The sequence below is a fragment of the Homo sapiens genome, chromosome X, assembly GCF_000001405.40.
Source record: "Homo sapiens chromosome X, GRCh38.p14 Primary Assembly".
In the NCBI taxonomy this organism is placed as follows: domain Eukaryota; kingdom Metazoa; phylum Chordata; class Mammalia; order Primates; family Hominidae; genus Homo; species Homo sapiens.
This window is the reverse complement of record NC_000023.11, coordinates 29560968-29580738: the sequence shown is the minus strand read 5'-3', so window position 1 is coordinate 29580738 and position 19771 is coordinate 29560968. Positions and strand designations below refer to the sequence as shown.

General features: G+C 35.6%; 1 protein-coding gene and 1 non-coding gene across 4 annotated transcripts in view; both read right to left on the bottom strand.

The window, feature by feature from the left end:
• Positions 1-19771, bottom strand: part of IL1RAPL1 (interleukin 1 receptor accessory protein like 1) — a 1369273-nt gene that overhangs the window by 375980 nt on the left and 973522 nt on the right. The gene's annotated exons all lie outside the window — the stretch shown is intronic.
• MIR4666B (microRNA 4666b) lies at positions 6381-6461 on the bottom strand. Its single transcript, NR_049877.1, has one exon. It is a non-coding gene; the product is annotated as a microRNA 4666b (primary transcript).

Sequence of the window (19771 nt, the reverse complement as noted above, 5' to 3'; positions counted from 1 at the left end):
TGCTGTCAGAGTCATCTTCCTAGACCATACCATGTTCAAACCTATGATGGGTTTAAAGAGAATGAGTTATATGACACAGACCGAGACTCAACCTACATCTTAGAGTCTAACTCAGCTAAGCCCCTTACAGATAGCCAACCCCCAGAAGATCCACGGATAACGGAGTGAGAATTAAGGATTGTTATTGGAAACCACTGAGTACTTAGATAGTTTATTATGCAGCAATAATATGGAAGTAGCAAAGTAACAGATCAGGAAAATACTGTAAGAGAACAAAAGTAAATAATTATTTATGCCTGAGCTAGTAACACAAGCTATCCTGTCCAGTAGAGCTAGCTATCCATGTGGAGACATCTCCACAAATCAAGGCTGGTAAAATGTATTCAAGTTAGTGAGAGAGAGAGGGGAATATTAAAAAGTCATTTAATTATTTAAAAGCACATTTTAAGTAATGGCAATAATAAATAATAATCAATTTTTAAAGCACTAGGTTAAGTGGTGCTGGGTATTTATAAATGAATATTAAAGACTATTAATTTAGGAAAATATGCTATTTTTAAAGTACCTAACGTAATGCACGTCAAAGTGAAAAAAAAAAAAAAGACTTTCTGAGGGAAAATACCAGTAAAAAGGAGAGACCATCTTGCTATAGCAAAATAATTGTGAATACTAAATTGGGGAGAAGGGGTAGTGGTGGAAAACATCTACCTTTATCTGATTTTATTTCACAGTCTAGTGGCCTATATAAAGTGACAATATAAGAGTAAGGCAATATAAAATTAAATTCATGAGAGCAAATCTGTAACAAAAAAGTCTATAATTTTTATAGAAGAATTCTATACAGATTCAATAAGCACATATGTAAAGATAATGTCTCAGTGCCACTGTCTTTTATTCTCATAGATTTCTCTCAGATTCTCTAGAGATGCTACACAAATCTTGGTCTGAGCACAGAGTTAGATATGTTGGTTTTCATACTTTGAATAACCTGCTTTGGAGTTGATATTAGAGGAATATTCATTTAAAGCATAAAGTACATACACTATTTATACATTTTATTATTATTCCAAAAGTTCATGAAGGAGTCAACTAAGAAGTAGAAAAATCGAATTGGTCATTTGAGTCCTTAACTAATGAATTTTAAAACACATCTTGCCCTTGGGAAAAAATGGTTATTAAAAAACAAAAGCAATTTTAGAAAAGGAATACAGTACAAAGTTTTCTGTAAGAGAATATATAGGTAAGCCTCCGTGCTACTTTGTCACCTTCTGGCTTTCCTATTTTAGTTAATCAAAGTTCAATTCTCATAATTACTAAGTCTGCAACTTCCACTAATTTTTTTCTATCTCTCACCACACATACCCAGTCATCTGCCAAAGCCTATCTATAATATGACTTTTATATGTCCAATGCTATCAGCCTCACTGTGACCTCATTTCCTCCCATTTGCTTTATTTCAACAGGTTATTGTCAAAGATTACCAAAAAATGGCCATAACGCTTTGAAGCAACTCTCATCTTACTTTTCCCTTGGATATGCGCTAGCCTTATGATTTTTTATGCCCAAAAGAAATTGGGAGAAGTATGCAGTGCTGGTTATCAGCCTTGATCTTAAAAGCTTCCAATCTTCCACTCCTGGAAACTGTTTCCATCATGTAAATAAGCCAAGGTTAACTAGTTATATAATGAGGGACACATGGCTCAGTCAACCCCTTCATCCCAGCCTCAGCCAGTCCATCCTGAAATAAAGAGTGTCCCTGATGACCAACAGCTGACACTGATACATGAGTAAGGCCATAAAAACAACCACCCAGCAGAACACAGCCCAAATTGCCCATTCATTAATGAGGCACAAACAAAATAGTTGTTTTAAGCTACAAAATAATTATTGTTTGTTCTGAGGTAGTTTACTACACAGCAAAATCTCAACTGATACATCTACAAATTCACCCATTTATGTTAGCATATCACTTCCCATCTTTTTGATGTATAGTGAAACTAGAGGTACAAGATTATAAAAGAACAAGAAATGGCAGGAAATAAAGACAGTAAGAAATTCTTGAGGGCTGAGGGTGGGAACAAGGGGATAGAAAGCCTTTTTAAAAATTTAAAAATCTTAAAAATTTAAGATCATTCTCAGAACCATTTGATTATCATCTCCCTAGCTCTTGCTTCTCTTCCTTCTCTCTCCCTAGATTGGAAGCCAACTTCCTACTGAAAAGAAGACAAGTGAACTCTAGTATTTCAAAGTTGATCATCATAACAAAATAGTTCAAAAGTGTAGAATATGTTTGTTACGTGCCCAACATAATGCTAAGTGATTTATGCTTATGATTTCATTTAATCCTCACAACAACCTTAAGAGATAGGTATAATCATCATCCTCACTTTGCTAATAAGAAAACAAGTACAAAGAAGACACTCATTCAAACTCACATAGTGAAGGGCAGAAAAGTACTTTAACCTCAGGGGATCTGCCACTAGGGCTGATCCTCTTAATCATCTTGCTCCTTCCCTCCCATGGTGCAACACTTGGTTGGAGCTCAGTAGCCACTGTCTTTGCTCTCCAGTTCCCAAAGGGTCAACCATTTCCAATTTTTCTCACATGGCTTTTTCTTATAACTATTGTCTTCTGTAAGCATCAGAGATCTACTGCATTCCTCATCCTCATTTAGATTAGTGGGCCTCACAATCTAATTACCTGGGAACTTTATATATACTGATACCTGGGCTCCATCCCTGGAGATTCTGATTTAATTGGCTTGGAGGATGGCCTGGACACAAGGATTTTTTTAAAGCTCCCCAGGTGATTCTAATGTACAGCCAAAGTTGATAATAACTGATACAAAAGCATGAGAGATTATTCATTTCCCCTCCCACTCTTTTATGTTTCCTGAAGAAGGCAACTTATAAAAAGCACTCTATAAATAAAAAATCATATCAGGTTATAGCAGAACCAGCAATACTTGGAGGCAGAAAAGGAGGTCACCTCCCTGAGAGGTCTTTAGGTTGCTATTGAAAAATACCTTTGCCATATGTCCCACTACCTGAAATTTGAACATTGGGAAAAGTTAGCATGTATATATCACTGTAGTTTTCCATCACCATCTTTTAAAATACAAATCTCCCCAGTAAGGGTAAACTTGTTCATATATATCATACAGCTGCATCTCTTCATTTCCCAGGTAACTCTCCGCAGGATAGCAAGCTCAGATTGGGGTACTGAGCGAAAGGGAAGTTTAATTGAGAAAGGGAAGCCTACTTTTGGATCACGGGAGTTTGGGGCAAGTTAGGGAATATAGCAGAGATGTCTGAGGACTTCTGAAAATGTTTGTGGCAGGATGAGGATGAGGAGTGGAATTAACAGGCTTGGGTAGGGCATTGTAGTATATGGAGGATTGCTAAATATTGCTTTTTACTTTATCCTGGAATCTGATAACAGTACTTTTTTTTCATAACATCTATTTGTTCACTCATTTATAAAATGTGCATAAATTATCTGCAGTATAAAAACACTACTGAAAATGCAAAGATGACAAAAGATATGTGCCCTCGAGGAGTATAAAATCTTAAACAACTTTCAATAACATTTTGATAAAACAGAGAAAATAGTATTGAATCTCATTCAGTTTTGTTAAATTTAAGAGCCTAAGATGAATGCATAATTTTGAGTGGCTTGGAAATACTGTATAATAACCTTTCATAATTCACAGCAAAATTTCCTGTTTCACTCATTATTGTTAAGTCCAGAAATGGAAACTAAATCACTGAGAAACACATCTTTTTCTAAACTAAAGCACTGCCCTTGAAGTAGAAAAATTTACTGAGGATTTTTTTTTTGTAACCAACAAAGTCTTTATGAAATATAAATCAATATTAGAAACCAAAATTAAATTCATAACCCCAGAAACTTAACCTAGACTAATGGAAGGCTTGACAACTTCAGCAGAACAACAAAGGGAATTTTTCTTTCATCTCGAGTATATATGAAACTCATTCTCCTAAAGAGAGTGAAAATATTGATTTTCACTTGTTTGGTAAGACCTAATATAATCTCTGACCTTCTAGCAAGTCACTACCCTACAGTCAAGGCAACAGTGACAATGGTGATAGCATGTTGAAAAAAAAGAAAAGCCAACAGTTTAAACAGAATCGTTATATGGTGCTAAGGACCTGTATGTTTTAATAATCATAAGGATTACAGGGGACCAAAAGGATCTTTAAAAAAGTATACAATTACAACAAATTGTTCCAGGGGTTTCTCAAACCTGACTTAACTACAGAGATTTTCCCTAAACTGTTGCCATTTCTGAAACTCCCAGTTATTTATTCCTTGATGGTCTTCTGAAGAAATGAGATTTGAATTGCATTAAGACATTATGTAGAATGGGAGGAACAAATCATTAGAATTATAAGGTCAAGGGCTAAAATAGAAAATAAACTAATGAGCATCTTGTCCAGCTGTGTATTCAAGTACCATGGGGAGGAGAAGGTGTTAAAAAAGAAGATTACAGGACCCTAACCTCAAAGATCCTGATTTAATTTCTCTTGGTTGAGACCTGAGAATCTGTATCCCAAGTGACTCTGCTGAGGATTATCAGAGATCCACACCTGGAGAAAACCAGCTCTAGTCTTTCTATTTTATAAATGATGATGCAGAGGGTAAGAACGAAGTTGCATATTTGGAGAGTAGAGAAATATCATTCAATCACCCTCCAAGGGGTCACTGTAGATTTAATTAAACATTCAGACACTCAAAACTATGATAGGCGCTGTTGCCATGAGTCTTCTCAGAAACTACGTCAGGTGATAGAGGTCCTCTCCATAAGAGTCCTTGCTGCATTTCATGTGTATGACAGCTCACACAGCCCTCTGGAAGCTATACCCTCAGAGACACAGTTTAGGTTCAAGGAAACAGATCCACATTATTGAGATGGGGAAATTGTTCTGATTTAGAAGAGCTATCACCCTAACAGGTACAGGCCAACGTCATTCAGGACAACACCACTGACAGCTTCTGTAGTGGTTAATATTAGGTGGCAACTTGATTGGATTGCAGAATGCCTAGCTAGCTGGTATTGTTTCTGAGTGTGTCTGTGAGGGTGTTGCCAGAGGAGATTGACATTTTAGTCAGTGGAATAGGAGAGAAAGATCCACCCTCAATGTGGGTGGGCACCATCCAACTGGCTGCCAGTGCAGCTAGAACAAAGCAGGCAGAAGAAGGTGGGATAAGCTGGCTTGTGGAGTCTTCTGCCCTTGGACATCAGACTCCAGGTTCTTTGGCCTTTGGGCTCTTGGACATACACCAGTGATTTGCTGGGGGCTGTCAGCCCTTCAGCCACAGACTGAAGGCTGCACTGCTGGCTTCCCCGCTTTTGAGGTTTTTGGACTCGGACTGAGCCACTACTATTTCCTTGTTTTCCCAGCTTGGAGACTTTTGGGGACTTTGACTTGGGTTCATGTGAGCCAGTTCTCCCTAATAAACTTCCTCTGATATATACACATATCCTATTAGTTCTGTCCCTCTGGAGAACCCTGATTAATACAGAAAAGTGGTACTGGGAAATGGGACATTGCTATAAAGATACCTGAAAAGGTGGAAGCAGCTTCGGGACTGGTTAATGGACAGAGGGTGGAACAGTTGGAGGGCTCAGAAGAAGATGGGAAGCTGAGGGAAAGATTGGAACTTTCTAGAGACTTGTTAAATTGTTGTGACCAAAATGCTGATAGTGATATGGACAATGAAACCCAGGCTGAGGTGGTCTCAGATGAAGATGAGGAACTTATTGGGAACTGGAGCAAAGGTCACTCTTGTTATGCTTCAGCAAAGAGACTGTCAGCACTGTGCCCCTGCTCTAGGGATCTGTGGAACTTTGAACTTGAGAGAGACGATTTAGAGTATCTGGTGGAAGAAATTTCTAAGCAGCAAAGCATTCAAGATGTTGCCTGGCTGCTTCTAACAGCATATGCATGAGCAAAGGGATGATCTGAAACTGGAACTTATATTTAAAAGGGTAGCAGAGGGTAAAAGTTTGGAGAAGTTGCAGCCTGATCATGTGGTAGAAAAGAAAAACCTGTTTTCTGGGGAGTACTCAAGCTGGCTGCAGAGATTTGCATAAGTAAAGAGGAGCCGAATGCTAATAGCCAAGACATATTGTATCTTGGAATTAACTAACTTGTTTTTTATTTTACAGGCTCATAGGTAGAAGGGACTCGCCTTGTCTCACATGAGACTTCAGACTGCGGACTTTTGAGTTAATGCTGGAATAAGTTAAGACTTGGGGGACTGTTGAGAAGGGATACTTGTATTTTGCCATGTGAGAAGGACATGAGATTTGGGAGGGGCCAGGGACGGAAAGTTATGGTTTGGATTTGTGTCACTGTCTAAATTGCATGTCAAATTGTAATTCCCAGTATTGGAGGAAGGGCCTGGGAATTACAATCTGACATGCAATTTAGACATGATCATGGAGGCAGATTTTCCCCTTGCTGTTCTCATGATAGTGAGTAAGTTCTCAGGAGATCTGGTTGTGTAGCACCTCGCTCTTTGCTCTCTTCCTCCTGCTCCAGCCACATAGGACATGTTTGCTTTCCCCTTCGCCTTCTACCATGATTATAAGTTTCCTGAGGCCTCCCCAGCCATGTTTCCTGTACAGTCTGTGGAACCATGAGACAATTAAATCTCTTTTCTTTATAAATTACCCAGTCTCAGGTAGTTCTTTATAGCAATGTGAGAATGGACTAATACAGCTTCCAAAGACCTTCAAGGGATATGCCCCATATCAAGAGTCCCTGCACCTAGGAACACCCAAAGCTGTGACTTCTTCTCAAGTATTTATGGTTCTTCCAACCTAGATACATCTCATCCATCCACGGGGGACATTTTTATCATAAAATAGTTGACATATACCATTTAACTAGTTTCTAGGATAATAGAGCTAGGCAGTTAGCCAAAAGTCCATTTCTCTTGCAACATGATTTTGTTAACACACCAACAATCATAAATACAATTCTCAAAATGGTAACTTTTACGAGGATCTACCTAAAGGGCTCTCACTGATAACATCTCACTTTTACCAAGATATGCCAGTGATGGGAGGATGATGAAGAACAAGACAGCATTTATTTTTTAAAACTGGTAAATCTTTCAAAAAACTCAGTGCATGTTGCTCTGCAGTCTAGAAGGTGCCTCAGAATATTTGCCTCACCTTTCTCTCATCTTACAAAATAGAAGTCTCATTTCATTAGGACACTCAAGTTTTCAAGAGATAGACAAGTATAATGGACCTAGTAAGAAATGAATTTTTATATATAACTTATTTGAGTTGGGGAAAGATAAGAACAAAGGCATCTTGATTATTGCTCATTCTTTGTTACTACCTATGAACTTGGGAAAGTCAATTGTATTCCTACTTTCCTTTTCAAATTCTTTCCAAATCCAAGCTTATTCTTGTTATGGTCTGAATGTTGTGTCCCTCAATGATTTATATGTTGAAATGCAATCCCAAATGTATTAATAGGTGGGGCCTTTGTGAAGTGACTATATCATGAGGGTGGAACCCTCCTGAATGGGATTAATGCCCTTATAAAGGAAGCCTGAGAGAGTTTGTTTGTCCTTCCATGATGTGAGGACACAGCAACAAGCCACCATCTATGAAGCAGAGAGCTCTCACCAGACACTGATATTGCTGGTGCCTTGATCTTGGACTTCCCAGCATCTAGAACTGTGAGAAATAAATTCCTATTGTTTGTAAATTACAAGTCTAAAGTATTTTGTTATAGCAGCCCAAACAGACTAAGATAACACTATTTTTCTGTTATTTTAATGTATTAATTTCAGGCAATTGAGAGAAGGTATTTACATTTGCATGCAACTGGAATGTATTGCTATTTGGGAAAAATTTAAAGACTGATAAAATACTTCTGCTGTCATAGTATTTTCTACATACTAATAAAATGTTTGAAATAGTTTTCATTTTCTAAAGGGAAACATAAAGATAAGCAAGATTCTCTAAGATTTTTCTGATACAGAAATGGGCATTATGAATTTCTACAGGGAGAATAAGCAGGCATCATTCCATAAACTTGTTTGACCATAGAACCATTTTTAAACAGAACATTCACTTGGTGTAAAATCTAGAAGATGCTGGAAAATATTTTTAAACAATGCCTCTAAATGTCAAGTGCCTTTGAAAAAGGGTTTTAATTTTATTATGTAAATGTATAAACAAATTTTCATTAAAAAATGCCAACAATTCTTAGGCAACACCATTCTCCTGTGAATTTAAAGACAAAGAAATTGTAATAGCCAGTGCTATTCATTCTGTATCAGTTATTTATATATTTAAATGGTCTCCATTAATCAGAAAATGACTTTGGAGAGTATCTGATACAAACTACGTCAAACACTGCTAACTTAAAATTTCAATAAATAATACTTCACATCCTAAAATAGGTTTTAAGATGACAAGCAATACGCTTTAGTTGAATGATTATATGCTTTAATTTTCATTCATGAGCACAGGAATTGTAAGAAACTCTAACTGTCTTAAAGTGAAATGCTGGACAAAAATAAAATCCCTTGATTCAAAACTGGTTTGAGAATAAAAATGAAACAAAAATAACTAGAGACACGAAAAATAAAACACAAAAACTTTTGTCACGATAAAAGTCTTAACCTTGTAATATCCTTATGTGAACTCAAATAAAATAATTACTACTAAGCCTTTTTGACAACTTATAAGATAAAAGACCCTGGGAGGACCTTAAAGGTCCTTGCCAGATTTTACAATCAAGAACAGTACTTGCCATATAGTTGCTCAATAATCATTTATTAAATAAACTAATGGACAAAAAGGGCATCGTTAAACTCTAAGACCTTCAGGGAGTCTCAATTCTGAGAAAAGCGTTACAGAGGATGGTGACATTGTAGGGAGGAAGGGACATAAAGTCTAAGATGATTTGGCACTGAAATGACCAATCTTTCATCTATATCCTTCATCACACTCTCCCAGAAAGAATATGTAACTGTATGCCACAAAACAATTACTGAAATGTAACTAGGAATATTGTATATTGCAATTATTTCTATGTTTCTCAGTACATTATATACTTTATATATGGGAGGGGAAATATACAAGAGAATAAAAGCAGGGTATGATATTTAGAGATTATGGAAACTATATTAGGAAGACATCTATTAGAAGAGCAAGGAAAACTTCAATCTATCTGAAAATGAACTACTATATTTTCTTTAATATCAAATGTTCTCAGGTTTCTTCAGGGAGTTAATTAACAAAGAGTAACTACTAGGAACTAATCTTATCTTGATGCCTCCTAGACTTTGCTAAAGGGCATTAGGTTTATACTTCTATATGCATTTGAGGATTCTACTCTTAAAGTATAATCTTTCCATTTTAATTTTAATGGTTACAGGCTTCAAATCAGCATTAAAATGTGAAGAGCACACTGAAGAAAGAACTCTGTTTAGACAAATTATTATTATTATTATTATTTTGAGACGGAGTCTTCACTCTGTCACCCAGGCTGGAATGCAGTGGCGCGATCTCGGCTCACTGCAAGCTCCACCTCCTGGGTTCACGCCATTCTCCTGCCTCAGCCTCCTGAGTAGCTGGGACTATAGGCGCCCGCCACCACGTCTGGCTAATTTTTTGTATTTTTTGGTAGAGACGGGGTTTCACTGTATTAGCCAGGATGGTCTCGATCTGCTGACCTCGTGATCCACCCGCCTCGGCCTCCCAGAGTGCTGGGATTACAGGCGTGAGCCACCGCGCCTGGCTAGACAAATTATTTTAAATGTATCCTTTGGACAGAAGACAAATAAGATACACAATCTGTTTTCCATATATTTTCTTCTGCTTTCATTTCTACAAGTACAATAAGGCAATTCAAGCATAAAGATTAGACACTCTTATCACAACCTTTTGTGGGCAAGTGAATCAATGTAACGTAGTGCTCAGTATCATTTGTCAGGGGAGACTCAAATGGAATAGGAATGGAATCCCCTCCTGGTACTCTGTGATATGCATCTATGCCTTTTGTTCAAGGCTGTGATCTTTGGCAGACTTACTATTTAATCAGCCCAGCATTTAGTAAATAAAGCAACAATCTTAGATGTTTTCATACTCATTAATGTCCTCTTCTTAACTGAGAAAACAAAGGAAGCCACCTAAGGCTACAATAAAAGGTATTTTGTTGAATTTATCAAACTCCCATACTTTTAAGTAGTAATGTATGAGAAAAAAATAGTAGACTCACCAGTGAAATGCGTGATATCAGAGCAGAGATTAAACTGTTTCGTTTTCACATTCAGTTCTTTTTCTAAGAAAGCATGTAATGTCTATTGGTATTAAAATAAAAATTAGCTTATATGCATTGAAAATATTTTTCCAATGTTTTATTTGTCATTTAAATTACTGACTTGTTTCTGAAGCAAATTTAGAATTAAGGAACATGAGCATATGTAGATGTACGAACAATTCTCAGCTATTTTTGATAATAAAAATCCATTTGATAAGTTTTCCCATGATATTTCTAGGAAATGTTTCTAAAATGTAAATCTCACAGTTCCTGACATCCGCTTATGGGTTCAATCTAATTTATCTTTTATTAAGAATGCATCCGTCTGATGAGGCAAATAATAGCCATTCCACTGTTCTATATGATAGTGACATTGCCATGTCCTTACTAAAGACTGGAAATGCCTTCACGTATTTCCATATGATGGATCATACTTAGACTTTAGTTAAATGCCTTCACATATTCATAGTAACACATGATGATTTATTAGGCTAACAGGTTCTAAATTACAAACTTACTGATTTCAGCTGCAAATAACACTACCTGGCTACAAAAAACCAGGCAGTGTTATTTGTAGCCCAAATCAGTAGTCTGATATTTTCCTGGAAATATATTAATTAAGCAAAGCTTAATAATCAAATCTTAACATGTTTCCATTTATCCTACATTGATAGACATTTTAACGCGACCATAAGTAGTTGCAAGGCAAACGTGAATTTTTCTCATTAAATGCCTGCTTTCTAATTAAAAATATAAATGGAAAAAATGGCAGTTGTTTTTTTTTTTTGCAATTTTATTCATGGTCCTCAATGATTACAAGAAAATTAATCATCCCAGATTATTCCACTGCCTTAACAGTCTATTGTTGAAGCAATGTGATAAAGTGAAGAGAGTTAGGCCTTGATGAAGTCATATAATATTTTTTGACTGTGGACTTTAAACGAACACTCAAAAAATATAAGGCATTTTCTTATTCTTAACCCGAAAATAAACCTTATTGTTAATATACCCTGAATGAATCATGTTATGTTCTAGCCATGTGGACTTGGGCAAGTTTCTCAGGCTCTCTGAGATTGGAGCCATAATCATATTAAGAGGTGCACTGAAAGAACAGTCTACAGAAAAGAGAAAACCACTCTAGTTACATTTTTTTCAATCATACTCTAGTCAGAATGTTTATACTATATTCCTACATCATTTTCAAGTTTCCATTCCAAAGCGTGGAATGAAGAACACTTCAATGGTCGAAATCACCAAACTAGAAAATATAAATGCCTTATATTTTCTAGTTCAGTGGTGCTAGACTGTAGAGAAATGAGGCATATTTCCATATTATCTACTAAACAATTTTTTTCCTTTTTGATAAAGAAGGGAGGGCATAAATTGCATCAGAAGGGATTTAAAGTGGCTATCAAAGCTCAGTAACAACAAAACCTATAGTCAACACTTTTTAAAGGTCAGTTTCAGTTGTCTCTATGGACATTCTAAAGGACTACAACATCTCTATTTTAATCAAGTGACACTGGGCTGGATAAATACTCTGCTTCAGATCCTCTTGACTTTCTTGTTCTTTTGCTTTTTTCCACATAATTAAAATTTTCTTGGTAATGAATGACCAGAAAACTCTTGGTCTCTATTATACCATATTCAGTTATAAAAATCCTATTCTCTCTTCAATCCTATGAAATTACCCTCATTGAAAATATTAATTAGGCCTAGTCTTAAATGCTATTTTTCTTAATAATGTCCTCCATATTTTATATAATTCCTGATTCAAAATAAATAGGCCCACTTGAGAATTCATTTGATCTCCATGTATAATTTAGTTAAACTAGTACAGAAAATTTTCTCAGAAAATCACCATTTCAATGCTGTTGAAATAACATTTATATAGAACTTTACAGTTTTCAACAGAACATAAAATCCGCTACTTTTTTCTCAAAAAGCTCCTGTGTACACAATTGGTATAATTATTCGTTTGTGACATTTTAATATCATTAACCCATGCATGGCTCTCTTTTAATCTATTTCATTATTCTTATATTAAACTGAATTAATTATCTAGTACATAAATAATCTAATGAATAATCTGTTATTCTTGATCTTTAAATCAAGAATAATCTGTTATTCTTGATCTTTAAATCAAGAATAATCTGTTATTCTTGATCTTTAAATCAAGAATAATCTGTTATTCTTGATCTTTAAATCAAGAATAATCTGTTATTCTTGATCTTTAAATCAAGAATAATCTGTTATTCTTGATCTTTAAATCAAGAATAATCTGTTATTCTTGATCTTTAAATAAGCTTAGTGGGTCGGGAGCACAAGATAATTGCTACTAGTTCAACATAAAATTGTTGAGTGCTCATTATATACCATACAATATAATATATTTCCTTTAGTAATCTGAAACAGATCATGTTGGAATTAAGGGTTATTTCATTCCCTTTCAATGTGCATTTGTATAAAAATGTTGTCTCTCAATCCAGCCAGTTTCTGGTTCTGTCCAAAACTTTTTCCTCACAAGTCCCTTTGAAACCTCCACAAGTCTCCCATTTTCAAAGGAAGATGTCTGCCAAACAAAACTTCAAATGAAAGAAAATCTTGATAACCTATGAACAAATGAAGCATTTGTATTCCTATCTAAAAATCTAGCTCTTCTTTTTAGAAAGAAGAAAGAAAATTCACGTGCCATTTTTACATTGCTTTCTATGTCAGCCTACATAGGGTTCCAAGGCTTCCAATTACTGCATACTGACATGAACTGCATCAATTTCATCAAATATTCGACTTATTTTGACTTTTCCTAACATTTTATCAAGAAACAGGAGGCAAAATGTAAAGATTTTCCTTACTTTATTTGTTCTCAAAAGGAAAATTACTGGAAATTCAATTGACTGTAATATAGAAGTTTTAACTTCTTTTCGAGAGGAGGAAGAAAAAATGCATTGTTACATGAATCCTATTTTTGTCTTTTGGTTTCACATTTGCTGGTGCTTTAAAAAACCTTCCTCTCCACTAAATTTATGGACAGAAGTTGTCTTAGTTAGTCAACATCAGAAAATTTATTTATTTTGTCTTCTTAACAATTGTTTAGGTAGGCATAGAATTTAAGGTTGAAATATTTTATCCTCAGTTGTTTTCTGGCATCTCTCCTTGCTAACGAGAAGCTTGGTGTCATTCTAATTGTCTTTTTTTTTTTGTAGGTAGTCTGTCTTTTCTTTCTGGTATCTAATAAGATGTTCTCATTAACCTTGATTTCTATAGGTGGATTTATTTTTACTTATCATACTGGGCATTCAATGCATACTTTTAAACAGTGGACTCTACTCTTATTTTTCAGTTCTGAAAAATTATTTGACATTATCAATTCAAATATTCCTTCTTTTTATTCTCTTTATTAATTTCTTATGAATAATCAGTTAGATCTATGTTGGAGCTTCAAAAGCTATACTCATCTCTTAACTGTCTTTTTAAGATCTCTTTGCCTCTGTATCCTGCTTTTGATATAAATTCCTCTGCTCAGGAATTTGCCCAGTGGCTCTGTATGTTCTGAAGTTAATCTGCTGCACTGTTTTTTAAAACTACTTTTTTTGGTATAATTATCCTGATAAAATATTTACAAACTTAGAAAACACATAAAAAAGAAATAATATTAATAACCTATATTGCTAGCTTCCAGAATTAACCACTTTTTATACTTTATTTAGTTTACTCATAAACACATTTCCCCCCATGTGCATACTTCACAAACTACTGAAAATATGAATACAGGTATATTTCGACAGAAAATAATTAGAGATATCACTCATCTAGCCAGGCTCTCTTCTATCCTCACCTCCTTTGATGATCCACTCCTCGTCTACACTGGTGTAAACACTATTAGAAATTTGCTATTTATCCCTCAATTAGTTTTCAAACTTCTGAACATATGAATATGTAGCCAATCAAATTATCTAGTGTTATTTTGTGTTTTAATTTTTTTTTTATGAGATGGAGTTTCACTATGTTGCCCAAGGTGGCTTCAAACTCCTAGACTCAAGTTATCTTCTGGTCTCAGCCTCCCAAATAACTGGGATTATAGGTGCGGACCACCTAGCTGGCTACAGAAAGGCTGTGCTTTAGTTTACATAAATATTTCATATCATTTACTCACTATCTTTTTTAAATTTCCCCACATGGGCCGGGCGCGGTGGCTCGCACCTGTAATCCCAGCACTTTGGGAGGCCAAGGTGGGTGGATCACGAGGTCAGGAGATCGAGACCATCCTGGCTAACACGGTGAAACCCCGTCTCTACAAAAAATTAGCCGGGTGTGGTGGCGGACGCCTGTAGTCCCAGCTACTCGGGAGGCTGAGGCAGGAGAATGGCGTGAACCCGGGAGGCAGAGCTTGCAGTGAGCCGAAATCGCGACGCTGCACTCTAGCCTGGGCGACAGAGCGAGACTCCGTCTCAAAAAAAAAAAACAACAACAAAAAATTTCCCCACATATTGAAACATACATTTAGTGCATTTCATTTAATTTCAGAATAGTATTTCTTCATTACATGTCTTACCACATTTTATTTATTTACTCCATTTTGATGGCCTTTATGTTTGTTTTGATGTTAATTTTTCCCTACCACAAACAACCATAAAAATAAATAATATCTCTGTGCACGTCTTTTTATATACATGTATTAGTATTTCTCAAGGGTAAATACCAAAAGTTTTAATTTCTGGGTGATTAGTTTTTAGATTTAATCAATATGCAAAATTGTAGCCATTTTTCATCAACCTTTCAATTGTCTGACAATTTAGAATTTACGCAATCTGGTGAGTAGAAAATAGTACATATATATTTAATTGACATTTTCATGATTAACAGTGAAGCTGAAAAACTACATGTGCTTATTGGCTGCTTTGATTATCTGCTTAAATATTTTCTCCATTTTTCTATTAGGTCATTTGTTCATTATTAATAAATAAGAGGTATCTGCATATTCCGAATAGTGATCTTTTGTTTTATACATATTGACTAGAATTTCTTTTACACACTCACTAGTTGTGTTCTTTTGAGATTTTTAGCGACTCTAAATGTTTGTGTTTTTTTTTTTTAGTAACTGCTATCTCTTTATATCTTGAGCAACCATGAATATAATTATTTTCTAATCACTTGTCCATTCATTTCATCTGGAGTAATTTCATACCCTGCGTATTGATTTGTTATCTGTTTTCTTTTTAAATTTTTAATTTGCTGTCATTTTGATAAATACAATTATTTTGATACATTATTTTAAGAAATATGATAAATTTTCTTTATTTAGTCATGTCACAGTCATTGCTTTTTCAGTAAATGAAAAGAGGGATGCATGAGGGTCAGGTTACAGACGAGAGAAGGCAGTATGACCACAGAAGCAGAGTCAGTGAAGTAGTTGTGGTAATGCTATACTGCTACTTGGAAGATGGAAAAAGGGGCCATGAGCCAAGGAATGCACGGAGTTTCTAGAAGCCTGAAAAGGCAAAGAAACGTGTTTCCTGCAGCCTCCTGTGGATACCTTGATTTAGCCCAGTGAGACCCATGGTGAACTTCTGACTTATAGAACCGTGACATAATATATTTGTGTTGTTTTAAGCCACTAAATTTGTAATAATTTATAACAACAACAATAGGAAATTAATATATTTGCTAACTCAGCCTCCTTAAAGTTACAGTCTGACAATTTTATTTCCATTGAGGCCAGCCAGGAGGCTGATGAAATGATTGCCTGTAACCTTTAGCTTCCCACGGACCATTAAAGCCAACTACCATTAATCCAATTGTGGTTCCAAACCTTGTAGCCAGAAAGAGCCCAAAACATCTCACTTAAGGCATAAAATGGTAACGTTAACTCTCCCGTAGCTTTTCCCATTTTTTAAGTTACAAAAGATTGGGCCCACATGGCCCATTTATTTGTCTCTAAAGCCAAGAACATGATAATTTTCTCTGTTAGTACTCCTTAGTCAGATTCTGAATCCTGCCACATCATTTTCCTCATTTTGTTGATTGCTATCATCAGAGCCATAGAAAAAGTTTTGACTATTTTACATTGCAACTTTTTGACAGCAGTGCATATTCCTTCTACTCAATCTAGTAAGCTTTTGCAATAATCATGCTTATTTGCTACTTCCACTCCCTCCTGGGTCATGAAATGCCCTTTGATTGTCATATATTTTTAAAATTACAAAGTGGAAATCAACACTTTCTGGTCAACTGGGTCACCTTTGAAGGTGCCATCAGCAAGTTCCAGGACACAGATTCTCTCCTTGTGCCCAAATTATGTAATGTCTCTTACTCACAGTTCCAATAAATTAACTCAGATCAGTTTAGAAGTGACAAACTCCTGATGAGAATAAGATTAATTTTTAAAGAACAGCCCAAAGTTTTAGGAAAGCCATGACCTTTCTATATATTTAATGAATACAACTGTCCATGCAGTAAAGAAACCCCTCTCCAAAGTAAAAGACAAGACAAAACAAAAAAATACATATATCATGATTTATAATATTAAGTGTTCAATTTCAGCCTCCCTTTGAAACTCCTTTTGTTGTTCCAAAGACACTAGCATTAGATACAGGATTGCCAATTTCACTTCTTCGAATCCATCAACAATGTCAGCACTAAGGCAAGTAAGTTGATAATAACTCTAAATAAGATGACCGTTCAGAAGTGAGGTTTGTGTGGAAAGTGATTAAAACAAATAGCCAAGAGCTATTTCAGTTCCAAAGCTGAAGTCCTACTTCTTGCAATTCAGAGATCTCATAAAAACAAGTTTCATTAAAGAAGAACTTTCATAAATCAACATTTAAACCTGAATCTCAATTTAAGTTGTATTTGAAACAGTTTGTGTCATGAATATTCTAACTGCAGAAACCTGCATTAGAACTTTACAATTTGAAAAACATGTAAATGGTGCCCTAACCTTTTTTCAACAGGTGTTGCCTAAAATCTGACTTGTAGATTACCAAGAAAATAAAAACCACTTACAGAAAACTAGGTATATCATCTCTAAGGAACCCTTTATTAACATAAAAGTGAATAAAAAGCTCTGAGTAACAGTTTTAATTTAGCTCTATTCTTAAAATTCAATTGGGACAAAAATTAAATTACTTGGAAATAAAAAAATAGACTGACCAAAATATAAATGTCTACATAAGTTATTTAGAAAGATTATCTGGAATACATAAAACTGCACATGAGAACATTAAATAATAGCATAATAATTTAACTATCTGAATCAGTTGTACTTTATCTCTATATCTCTATTTTGTACTTAGGTAGAGAGCTATGTATTTCTATAGATGTTCATCATGATGTCATGATCCTTAAATTTTGCAAATATTCAAATAACAATAATTTTTTTTAAGTAGGGTCATTTGTTACTGCATTACAATCTAGTCTATCCTGACAGAGATATCATTTCCTTACCATATGGTGCATAGCCAGAAAGAGCCCAAAACACCTCACTTAATGCATAAGTCATAATGGTCATGCTCTCTTTGTCATGTTCTATCTTGCCAATAGTATCAACTACTTCATCCATGCCACTCCTAATAATGAAAGCCTTTTTATCTGTTTTTATGATTGCCACTAACTAGAAAGTGAGGATTATGTAACACCACAAAGTTTAGTGAGAGATTTAGTGATGGAAAGAGTTTTAGGACGGAAATAGAATATCTATAAAAAGGAGTCAATTTAACTCTCTAATTTGCAAAACAGCAATATGACAGGTACAAATACTCTCTGACAACATGTAAAAGTAAATATTTATGTTTGGGTAATAGGTCTAATTTCTTTAAGCTCATCTTTTTGTCTTTTATTATAAACATTCACATCCCATTAATGTTAATATATAAATGATGGCCTAAGTCTTGGCAATATGTCATTAATTCACTAAGATCATAATTTTATACTTTTTTCTTATTTTTTCAAGCTTAACACTCTCTGCTGCTGATGCTGTAAAGTGAGAGACTTGTTAAACATTCCAAAAATGTCCATCCTTCTAGTGTCTCTCTTCAATGCCAGAGTACCCTCTATGTCTCTCAGGAAACTAGAATCCAGTGATGGTCTATGACTCCTTTTAAATAAACCCTTCCTTTAGAAAAAGAACTCATATCTGGCTGAGCATGGTGGCAGCATTTTGTGAGGCTGAGGTGGGAGGATCACTTGAGCCCAGGAGTTTGAGACCAGCCTGGGCAACACAGTAAGACCCTGTCTCTACTAGATAGATAGATAGATAGATAGATAGATAGATAGATAGATAGATAGATAGATAGATAGATAGATTAGATAGATAGATAGATAGATAGACAGATAGATTAGATAGATAGATAGATAGATAGATAGATAGATAGATAGATAGATAGAATTGAAAAAGAAAAAGAAAATATAAAAATAAAAAGAATTCATATCTAATGTTTTGCCTTAGGATTTATGAAAACATAACTGTCTCTCCCAGAGGTAGATTCCTTGTAACTACATCATTAAAGAAGGTGAACACCTTGTTCTTTTCTAATGTAATCCATTCAGAGAAGAGTGACATTAGAAAGATGGTGGGATAAGAGTTTTCAGTTCTTATCCCCATAGCAACACCAATTTTGACAACTACCCACAGACAAAAGTATATTAGGTAGAGCCCAGGGACCAGGGGAGAGGTCCCAACGCACCATGGGAGAAAAAAATGATCCACGATTACCTTGAAGAGGGTAAGGAAAACAGTTTCATTTTACTTGCATCACCCCTTTCCCAAGGCAGCACACAGCTCAGTGCCAAGAGAGACATTCTTGGCCCACGATTTGTTTCACAGGGGAAAGTGAAAGCATAGCTAGTCAGAATGTTGCCCAAGAGGCCTACTTTTATCTCACTTCACCCATAACACAGAAGAAACTGGCTCAGTTGAATAGTCTTGGGAAAGCTAAGAACAGGGAAAAGGGGTGAGAGCTCACAGCAACTTCAGTAAAGAACTAAACAAAGGGCCATTGTTTCTACTCATTGCATCATGAACTCCATGAACCCTGCCCATGAACATCAAAAGATGCAACACTTGTGGACCCATTTAACTTTCTCGTATGTGTCTCCAAGCACTCTGCATGCCCTTCTGTCCATCCCTACCCATAGCCTCTGCAAATCATGCACAAGCACACACAGACATCTGGCTTAACTCTCTGGGACTGGGAGAAGGCAATTAACTTTGAGTACTTCAGGGCAATGCCCTAGGAAAAACAAAAGAGAGGCAGTCAGCACCCAGCCTGGCTTTGCAGGATCAAGAGAAGACATTCAAACATAAAGCTTCTTCTTGAAGAGGAAACAAGAGGAGTGGGGCAGGTGTATCCATAGTAAAGGTCTGCGAGACCCCTAGAATGTCAGGCTGACTAATGAAAGTCTTTGTATCCTGAAGTCAGTTAGTAAGGATTGAAGGAGGAGGTGACTCCTTG